The following is an 11,606-nucleotide window of genomic DNA, read 5'->3' as shown; positions in this document are numbered from 1 at the left end:
AGATTTCTTTTAAACTATAACTGTGAATAGCTGCACAGAAACACATCAGCTATTTAATATTTATATATGTATAAATAAAACTATTTTTTCACAAAAATAAATTATGCAATACATATATTGATATCTAAAACATTATTTTTGAAAGTAGACCATTTATATTTTATTGCTAGATGTAACACCTTTATACTATGTAATTTTGCAACACACTATCGAGCCCTCTGGTTTACGTATCTGAAACTTTATTCCTATTATCTGACTGTTTTCTTGATAAAGTTTGAAATCAGAAATTCATACAACTAACATAACAATCATTATCATCATTTTTGACACCCTACAGAATTCCAGTAGCAGATTCTAAAGTTGCTTGGAGTTTAGGAATCTTATGAAGAGTAAAGAAAAATTCAGCTGATTACTAGCACAATGCAGTAGTTGTTTGCCCAGACTGATTTTCATTAGAGAGAAAAAGATCTATTTCTTAGAGGCAGGGTAGACTCTAATTTTTATGCTTAATTCCAGTCTTTATATGTCATTTAATTAATAAAGAGCCATGGGGAAACAACCAATTTAGCTCATATTTAAGCAACTGTTTTAAAATTACCTGAACAGCAAATATAAGCCATTTTAAATGAGAAAATTCGGCTTAATGAAAGATTTTAGGTAGCCATTTGGGGACTGCTTAATCTATAGATATTTTAGAGGCAATATTAAGAGAAAAAGGATATGAATATTATACCATCTACAGTAAATTATATCAAGATGTGTTAATCAGATTGTTAGAATAAGACAAACATCCATAGAGCTTCTCAATACGCAAATTAAGGAGAAAATGTGTCAACACTGACTTTTGTTTCTTGAAAAAGGAGTTTTATATATTTTTAATCTTAATTAGGCAATAGTTACCTATTGAGAGGCGACAGCGTGCTGGCAGCCCTCGCTCACTCTCGGCGCCTCCTCGGCCTCGGCGCCCACTCTGGCCACGCTTGAGGAGCCCTTCAGCCCCCCGCGGCACTGTGGGAGCCCCTCTCTAGGCTGGCTGAGGCTGGAGCAAGCTCCCTCTGCTTGTTGGGAAGTGTAGAGGAAGAGGCGCGGGCGGAACCTGGGCTGCGTGCTTTCACGGGCCAGCGTGAGTTCCAGGTGGACGTGGCCTCAGCGGGCCCTGCACTCGGAGCCGCTGGCCGGCACCGCAAGCCCCAGGCGGCGAGGGGATTAGCACCCGGGCCAGCAGCTGCGGAGAGTGCGCTGGGCACTGCTGGCGCTGCGCTTGAATTCTCGCCGGGCCTCAGCTGCCTCCCCGTGGGGCAGGGATTGGGACCTGCAGCCCGCCATGCACAAGGCTCCCCTGCATTGCCGTGGGCTCCTGTGCAGCCTGGTCTGCCCTTGCTCTGCAATGCCGGTCCCATCGGGCTGAGGAGTGCCCACGCATGGTGCCGGACTGGGGCAGCTCCGCCTGTGGTGCTAGCACAGGATCCACTAGGTGAAGCCGGCTGGGCTCCTGAGTTTAATGAGGACTTGGAGAAACTTTGTCTAGCTAAGGGATTGTAACCACACCAATCAGCACCCTGTGTCTAGCTCAAGGTTTGTAAATGCACCAATCATTGCTCTGTGTCTGGCTCATCTAGTGGGGACTTGGAGAACTTTTATGTCTAGCTCAGGGATTGTAAACGCACCAATCAATCAGCACCCTGTCAAAATGGACCAATCAGCTCTCTGTAAAACAGACCAATCAGCTCTCTGTAAAATGGACCAGTCAGCAGGATGTGGGTGGGGCCAGATAAGGGAATAAAAGCAGGCTGCCCGAGTTAGCAGCGGCAACCCACTCCAGTCCCCTTACACGTTATGGAAGATTTGTTTTTTTACTTTTTGCAATAAATCTTGCTGCTGCTCACTCTTTGGGTCTGCACTGCCTTTATGAGCTGTGACACTCACTGCGAAGGTCTGCAGCTTCACTCCTGAGGCCAGCAAGACCACAAGCCCACTGGGAGGAACGACCAAAGGCGCGCCAGCTCCAAGGCGCGCCAGCTCCAGGTGCCCCGGCTTGAAGGTCTGCGGCTTCACTGCTGAAGCCAGCGAGACCACGAACCCACCAGAAGGAAGAAATTCCGAACACGTCTGAACATCACAAGGAAGAAACTCCGGACACACCGCTTTTAAGAATGGGAACACTCACCGCGAGGGTCCACGGCTTCATGTTTGAAGTCAGTGAGACCAAGAACCCACAAATTCCGGACACGCTATTTTGGATTATAACTACACATTTCACTTGAAATGTTGGTAGATTAATTGTACTTCCATTTTTATACGCTTTAATTTTGAACTGACAATGTTTACATTGATGCAATGCAAAGGAAAAGAGAAAGCATCCTTGTCATATTAGAGAAAACTTCGAACAGTTAAAATTTTATGTAAGTATTTAATTGCTTCATGTTCAAATACTTTATCATATAAGTCTAATTGATCATTCCTTTTACAAAATAATTTCTCTGCTTTGTCTTTAAAACTTGTGTTTAACCCAAAAATGTAGCCCAACATATTCACTGAAACATTCTAAATAACATTTATTCATTACTGCCAAATACAAGCACTTCACCCTTTACGCACTTAACAATGCAAAATTACGTGACATTATTTCCAGAATATTAAAATCTATTAGAGGTCTCAAGCCAAATATACTGACTATGAATGTAGGTACCCTAGACTGTAAATTGCTTTATTCAGAGCAAACTGAATAAAGTTCTGATGATTATATATGGGTGAGAAAGAAAATCTTAACTGAATGAGGAACATTTCAAAAGAGATAGCGGTGGGCAAATATTTACTGAGTTTGAGATACCTGAAAACACCACTTTGGCTTAGGTCAAATACATACATAAAGATACAGTGAGACGAAGTTTCAAAATGTGTTTGCATTTGAAAGCCCTGATAAGGAGTTTGATAATTATCTAGCACACCAGAACAGTTTAGAGCAAGAGAGTGATATTTTGTTTTCTTCAAATATTTCTGATTGTCTCCCAGATCAATTTTTAAAAATCTGTTTCAATGAAATGTCTGTGGATTTGCTTTCACAAACAAGGGTATAATGAAGAGAAGTGAAACAAAGAGAAATGAAAGTAGCACAATACTTAACAAGACAGTTCCTGTCAAGAGTAACCAAAGGACACAATACTAGGTATTTTCCAGTAGGCATCTTAATTTTATGATAACTGAGACAACAAAGAAATGCTTGTGATATTCTATTAATGAACATAAGCAAAATCAAAAATGGGAGCTCAGTAGGTCTGAAACAATATTGCCCAGAAGCATAATTAGGGTGAAAAGCCAGAACTTAAAGAATACTTTTAGGAAGAAATTATAATAAGGATCAGCACACATCACAATAAGAAAAATAACATGAATTTAGTTTAGATAGGTGTAAAAGAAAAAAATAAGATGTCATAAGAACTCATCAAAGCTATATATGGTGAATGAATATACACAATATGTTGAATAAATATCACTTCTGCCTAAATGTCGTAGATATAAAACATGGGGAAAAAAGAGATAAGATGTATTTATAAAACTCTCCACTGCAGACATGATGTTAGATTCTCATTTGTCTTACACAACTACATTCAATGTAGATATCATAATCTCCATGACTAAGATATGAATTTAATTGCCCAGAGTCTCACAGCTTGGATTGGATATCCAAGGAATGGGCAGGTGTCCTATTTATCTTCCTCTCAAGTCAATTCCACAGTATCATGATAACGTGTTATAATTTTACGGAACGTAAACTGCTAACTTCATCAAACAATTATAATAACTTTTATTGCTAGCATTTAGAATTTATAAAATATTTTTAAAATCATATTTAACCCTTACAAACAATAAAGACATGTTGATGAAAGATATTTAGAGAATTAAAAAACTTGAAAAAGTCACAAATGTGAATATTTATTAAAATAAAGTATATTATGTACATTTTAATGACTAACACTTTTGGAGGATACTCTTTCTTGTCTATTCAGTAAATGTAGGTCATATTAAACTATTTGCTAAAGCCATAAAGAGTTAGTATACCTTTCCTGTTCACTAAAATTTAATGTCTATAACTGCTACTTAATTGCTTAAATCGGATTTAAAGTCAACATATTCCAGCAATTGACCTGAACTATTTGCCTTTTTAGTGCTTTTGATATGTAAATAGACAATAGAATTTTCAAAAAGAGGAGTTAAAAGAGGGGCTATATGCCCATTGCATTCTTCTCTTCAGATTTGACATGACGGTGCCTTACTTTGAAATTCCAGATATGAATTTACTATATATTTTTAATTTTTGGCCCAGAATACAGTAAACCTTCAATAACGTGAGCACTTTAGAATATAAAATCAACTTAAGCACCCACTTGTTTCTTCCATTCCTGATGTAATCTTTATCTTTGCCAATTTGCTGGAGCCATGTCTGACTTGTATGTTTTATCCTTGGTGCTTGGCAGATTGTCTGATAATAAAAAACTCAACAACTCTCTGTTACATAAAAGAATGAATAACCAATTGACTAATTCAAAGAATGAACTTCTTTTATGTTTATAAGCCATCCATACTTTATTAAGTGTATATATATACAATATGCACAATATTTATACATATACAGATAATCTTACTTTGTATACTAACATTGCAATATAGTTATTCAAAATTTTCAGAGAAACACATAGTTCTGAGAGGCATTTGAGAAGTTTCTCAGTATCCAACAGCCAGTAAACAGCAAAAAGTATTTAGAGAAGGGTATGCATCCTTTAATGTTCATATTTTCAAATTAATAACGATATCATAGTGCAATAAAGTTAGTGAATACTGCTATGCTACTTGCGTTAATTAATGATATTATCTAGAGGGTTAATAGAAGCTTATAATAAAATTAAGTATGCATCACAAGTAGGCCTTCCCATCATCATCATCAAATCATGGTTTAGATTTCTGTCTTGTGTTATGAAGCATAACGTAGAACCTATGCATGGGTTCCACATCGGTGTGTTCAGTCAAACATAGGTCAAAATTATTTGGAAAAAAAATAGCAATACAACAATAAAAATAATACAATTTTTAAAGTGCAACTATTTACATAGCATTTACATTGTATTCGGTATTATAAGTTACCTAGAGGTGACTTAAAATATACAGCAGGATGTGCATAGGTTATATGCAAATACTGCACCATTTTATGTAAGGAACTTGAGCATCTGTGGATTTTGCTATCTTGGGGGTCTTAGAGCCAATCCCCTCTGAATACTGAGGGACAACTGTATATTTAATGTGTTCAACATGCTATTCTAATATACGTACACACACACATATACACACACATAGTAAAATGATTACTACAGTTAAACATATTAACTTATTTATCTCCTTACATAGTTCCCTTCTGTGTGTTTGTTTCTGTGTGTGGTAAGAGCATCAAAAATCTACCCTCTTAGCAAGTTTTTAGTATACAATATTATCAACTGTCATCCTCATGCTATGCATTGGATCTGTAGACTTATTCATCCTACATAACTGCAAGTGTGTACCCTCTGGCTAACATCTCCTCATTTCCTCCGCTTCTCTGCTACAAGCATAATTTTAAAAAGTTTTTAATGAGATTAGAAATATTTTAGAGTTGATTATTCATATTATATTTATTAATACAAAATAATAGTTTAACAAGAATCCTTCCAGAAAATATGGTAAACAAACTTAACACTTGCAACGATGCTTTCCTAACCCTACAAAGGATTCTGATTAATTTTTATTCAGAATACATTTATTTATTTATATAATGCATGTTTATGAAAAGATAGAAAAGTTGTTATTTACAGGAATGCTAATAAGGCCTTGAATAAATGGTAAAGAATACATTTATTAAAATTGTATTTATTTGATAAAAATAAATTTGTTCTTACGAAGAATACATTTTCAATATAACTGTGTTGAGAGTCTTTTAAGAAACATAAGAAGACGATGATAGTCAACAGAATAGTATATACGTCATTTATTGACTGTTCAAAAGCATAATGACCACAACGGGAATTTGAGAAAGGAGGACATTTCATTATTTTCTACATAGGAAATAAAAATAAGTTTCAATTTAGTTTTTAACCAGATAGCAATACTCATTTACAGTATCATCATGTCTTAAGGACATGCAATAATATAATGCATAAGCTGAATAAAACTGTATACTATTCTGTGTGAATATAAATGAAGAAAAATAAATTCTATCAGAGAGGTAATAAATATCATGGAGAGGGCACAGCATTTTGTTAAGTAACTCAATTTTTTCTTTACCAATCACTATACTCCAAATCTTTGATTGACTAACCCAGGGGATATTTTGAGAAATATTGAAAAAATAAAACACTTGTATTTCTACTATGGACCCAGTGCTTTTCTCTACAGAATTCAAAATACATTATGGATTTTTAGGTTCATAAAGTCTATTTGCAAAGTTTTCTGAACAATAAGATACCCCATAGCGGTAAATCTTTCTTACAGGATTCTTTCCACTACCAGAGACAATGTAGTTTCAGCTATTTAAATAAGATTCTAAATTACAATATTAATATAACTTCAGAAGTATTGCATACGTTTACCTTAAGTAAATAATACATTGTGTGGAATTTAAAATTCTGTGGCAGAATTTGTTATTTCTAACATACTAGTTTAATTAAGACATAAAGACTTGTCAAAATAGTTAATAACAGTTTCTGATAACAATAAGTTGATCTTTGTAATTATGCTTAACTTCTCAGTAGCAATGTTTTCAAGGTACATCTCAAAGTCCTATGAGCATTTCTCCAAATAACAACGTTTCCTACTTTTTCATAAACGTGTTATATAAAGAGATCTCATAGATACATCTCTGTTAATTAGCATGTTATGCTCTAATGAAATTATGGGTCCCAAAATAAAGGAATAATTTGGTTGTTGCCTCTATTTAAATAATAAGCAAATTTAAAAATAAACAAAAACAATAGATAATACATAGCTAAATTCAGAAGCACTAAGAGTTTGAGATGAGGAAATACATTTAAGGGAGAAAACATACATATAATCACTAATGACTAGACAAGCAGAGTAAGAGTAAGTTTATAGTGAAGATTAGGGGAACCAGCTTTAGCTGATTTAATTAACTGTAAAGTCCTTATGTGGAAGTTTTCTTCTACCATAGATCTATCTTTTGGAAATTTGAGAAATATCTTAATAATTTTCATTTGATTTATAGTAGTAAATAACAAGAGATTTAGTGATGATTAAAAATGTTGCTGATAATTTTAATTCAACATGCATAAAATGTAACTCAAGTACATTAGGCCAGTGAGTACACAGGTGGTAGCAGGAGCGAACAATAAAAAAGAAACCATTAAATATGTTTGGATCAGAACCAAAGGAGAAAAAGGTTGACAGATGAAAATATAGGGGGAAAAAAAGCTGTTACGCATTAAATCGTGTCTCCTCAAAATTTCTATGTTAAAGTTCCAAGCCAGAGTGCCTCAGAATGTGACCTTATTTGCAGATAGGGTCTTTACAAAGGTCATGAAGATAAAATGAGGTCATTAAGGTGTACCCTAATTCAACTTTATTAATGTCCTTATAAAAAGGGAACGTTGGAGGCAGACATAGACACAAAGAAAATGTCAAGCGGGAATAAAGGCAGACATCAGGGTGATGCTTCTACAAGCCAAGAACACCAAGATTTGCCAGCAAACCACCAGAAGGTAACAGAAAGCCATTAAATAGGTTCTTCCTCACAGCTTTCAGAAAAAAAAAAAATCAATTCTGTTAACACCTTGATCTTAGACTTCTAACCACCAGAACTGTTAAATAATAGATTTCTGTTGTTTAACCTACACAGCGGGTGGTACTTTGTCTTGACAGCACCAGTGAACTAATACAGAAACTGGATGCAGGGCAGCAAAATAGATACAAGCTTCAACTTAGTGAATAAACTTTCAGAATAAATCAGCTTTTTAAATCTTCATCCAAAAGTAAGTATAATGTGGTTTTAGAAAGGTAAGAATTTTTTTACATTTTTATTCAGATAGCGTTAAACTATCTGATATGGTATGGGTCAGTGTCCCCCCACCAAATCTCATGTCAAATTATAATTCCTAGTGTTGGAGGTGGGGCCAGGTGGGAGGTGATTGGATCAAAGGATTGGATCCTTTGGTGGTGGTCTCATAATAGTGAGTGAGTTATCAAGAGATCTAGTTGTTTAAAAGTGTGTAGCACCACTCCCTTCTCTCTCCTCCTCCTGCTCTGGGTCATGTAAAATGTGCCTGCTTCCCTTTCAACCTCTGCCATGATTCAAAGTTCCCTGAGACCTCCCCAGCCATGCAACCTGTACAGCCTGCATAACTGTGAGCCACTTTACCCTCTTTTCTTTATAAATTACCCAGTCTTAGGTATTTCTTTATAGCAGTGCAAGGATAAAGAAATATACTATCCTAACTTTTTTTTTCTTTAAGTCTCTTTGTAATTTTGTTTGTGTTAGAGTGAGAGGTAAGTCTTTACCCTTGTATGACATTGTCTCTATGAACGCATTTTCTGGTCAATTTTGTGTTTGTCTGCTCATCAAAATGGGCACATTAAAATTACATTTTTTTCCTCTGTGTCAGAAAACACATGTAGAAAGTACAAAAAAATGTGAAAGTGCAGATTAACCATTTATTCAAAACAAACAACCACGTAGCAACCCAAATTATGACAATGAAAACTGCAAAAACCTGGAGCCTCCTGTTGTGTCCTTAGCTAGTTACAGCCTCTATGATTCCTTCTTCAATGGTCATTATCCAAATTTGAGGGTAATAAGTTCTCTTTTCTTCATTATTGTACTCCAATGTACACATTCCTAAGCATTATTATTAAATATTGTTTGTAGTTTAAGTGATGCTGGTTACAGCAGTGATATACTAGTTGTGAAAGCAAGTTCACTGTCTCCTGTGCAGTTGGAATGGCAAAGGTCTCATGAAGCTTATCTCATTACTCAGTATTGTGCAATTTGAAAAAAAACAAAATTTCTCCCAGTACTTTATTCACTAGTGATGTGGTTTGGCTGTGTCCTCACCCAATTCTCAACTTGAGTTGTAGTTTCCATAATCCCCACGTCTCATGAGAGGAACCTAGTGGGAGGTAGTTGAACCATGGGGTGGTTATCTGCATGCTGTTCTGATGGTAGTGAGTTCTCATGAGATCTGCTGGTTTTATAAGGGTTTTTCCCCCTTTTGCTCAGCACTTCTCCTTCCTTACATCATGTGGAGAAGGAGATATTTGCTTGCCCTTTCACCAGGACTGTAAATTTCCTGAGGCCTCCCTAGCCCTGCAGAACTGTGAGTCAATTAAATCTCTTTCCTTGGTAAAAGTTTCAGGCAGTCTTTTACAGCCGTATGAGAATGTACTAATACAACTAGGTTGAACAATTCAGGCTTCAAGCCAGTAGGAAGTGCCCACAGGTAAAAACTAGCTGTGGCTAAAGCAGGCCAGTAAATGCAGTACCCAAATGGTGGGCAAAGGTTCCATCCTTGGCAGAGGTGCCTGGGAAAGTTCTCAATGAAATGCACTGAGGTCTTCTAAGGTGGAAGAGAGGGCACCACTACAGCTCTCCTTCCAAACCAGCAAGAAAACAATCCACCTGCCAATCACACTCCTTACTCAGTGTTTTAGCTATTCAGATCAGACAGGCACCTCTTTTCAGCTGCAGGAATGCTGGTGTTCCATGTTGTGAGGGGTTGTGAGGCTACCTCTTCTGCAAGCCTGAACCTGGAGGGCATTCCTCCTGTGGGGAGGCTGTCACCCTGAAGTGTTCGAGGAGGGCTGTCTACAGGTTTATCCACTCCAAGCTCCTGTGCGAGAAGTCCCAACTGTGTCTGCAGTGGTAGATGAGGGGGAGAACTCCCCTTCTCCAAGACTCTTCATGAGCACCAGGGCTGCCTGATTGTTGGGCAGACCTTCCCCATTGAACCCAGCAATGCACCTGTGCCTCTGCTGTAAGAAACTTCTCATAAGTGGAAAGTTCAGGGACTCAGGGCCTGCAGTTTGGTTTCTTTTGTCTCACGGGGTCTCCCTTAATGTTGTCTACTCTCCCTTCCCCTAAAAGTAGCAGTCCTTGCCGGCCAGATTACTGTAATCCTGCTGCTTCTCTGGGTCTGTTCACCCAGTGGGGCTGCCATACTTATGATGGTCCTAGGGAATGTCTGCAAGGGATCCGGTGATGTCACCTGTACTCTAGTCTCCCAGTGGCAGGTACCAGCACCAGCTCTGATGAGGGTGGACAAGAAGTAAGTTTTCCTTGGTTATAAATAACGTTATTGTGTTGGCTTTCTCAAATGCCAGCTTTAGTAGTATTGGGCACGTGGACATACTCAACACCTCCTTGTTGGCTAGGGTAATGCAGGCAATGGCAGTAGTTGAGGTCACATAAATGTTTTCTCCTTCCTGAGCACTGTGTCATTTTGTTTTCAGATGGTGTAATGGGATGTGCCAGTTGGCCTCCAGCCAGGAAGTGGAGCTTGCCAAAGAGCACCAGCTATGTTGGTAACAGTGGAATTTGTGCCTGCCTTATTTTACCCAAGGTAGATATTCTTGTGTATCAGGCAATGGGGGGGCCACGGAGTTCCCAAATGTACCTGCCCATCACGTTAGGCTATCAGGATGGATGGAAGGACAAAGCTGGGTGCGGGTGGGTCCGGCAAGTTTGCACTCTGGCTCCCCATATACAGGCTCAAGCAGTGGCCCCAGTGGTGATCAGAAGGCAGTTCCCCGACCACTGGAATACTGTTCCAGGGAGGAGTGCTGCTGCCTACACTGCACAAAAGACCCATATGAGGAGCAGCAATGGAGCTGGTGGCAGTAAGCCCCACTCAGTTCCCAAGTACTTGGCAAGGCAGGTCTCACACCCACAGTGCTTTGCCGCAACTAGCTGGTTCCAGGGAGCCTGCGCATAGAACTCAAAACTGCCCCAGGCCATAAGCCTTCCCAGTGGAGACAAAAACTGTGAGTTTCAGGCCATGCCCCTCTTGATCTGCCAGTGAAGTAGAGGTGCTCAGCTCCTGTGCCCATGGCTATAGCACACTTCCTGCACGTCCTTCCGTCCTGGCCAATGAGTTTTGTCCCCAGTCATGATTCTGTCTCAATGCTCAGTTGATGCTTCTCTCAACCTGTGACTACATCATGAGTTGGCTGGCAGATTTCCGTGAGGTCTCCTGTGAGAAAGGATTTGGAATGGCTTCCCTCTGTCCCACTGGAGTTTGAAAGTGCATGCAAATCTTATCCCAATGCCACTCCTTCTCTTAGAGTCCCCACTGCTCACTAAATCAGCTCCACTGCTATATTGGATTAAGACCTTCTGTGACCTAAAATGCCTGAGTCCCTTTTGGGAGTGTGGGTCACTGCAGCGGTTTCTCTCTCTCACATGCTATGGAGACACACAGTTTTCCTCTGGCTCGTGGTTTAGGCCGTTGCCCACTGGTTCTTTCCAAAGGCCTGTGGTTTCTTTCACAGCATGAATCTTTACACACTATTTTGCCTTTCCAAGTGGGAGAGACATGCTAACAATGTCTTCAGTCCACCATCATGGAAAAAAAAAG

At 38.5% G+C, this 11,606-nt stretch overlaps 1 long non-coding RNA gene across 1 annotated transcript; it reads left to right on the top strand.

The window, feature by feature from the left end:
- Nucleotides 1-2,174: 2,174 nt before the first annotated feature.
- LOC105377838 (uncharacterized) lies at nucleotides 2,175-11,350 on the top strand. The gene is made up of 4 exons (XR_942651.2): nucleotides 2,175-2,402; nucleotides 7,623-7,739; nucleotides 7,900-8,009; nucleotides 10,483-11,350. It is a non-coding gene; the product is annotated as an uncharacterized LOC105377838 (long non-coding RNA).
- The last annotated feature ends 256 nt before the right edge of the window (nucleotides 11,351-11,606 follow it).

The sequence above is a fragment of the Homo sapiens genome, chromosome 6, assembly GCF_000001405.40.
Source record: "Homo sapiens chromosome 6, GRCh38.p14 Primary Assembly".
In the NCBI taxonomy this organism is placed as follows: Eukaryota; Metazoa; Chordata; class Mammalia; order Primates; family Hominidae; genus Homo; species Homo sapiens.
This window is presented reverse-complemented; position numbering and strand designations above follow the sequence as displayed.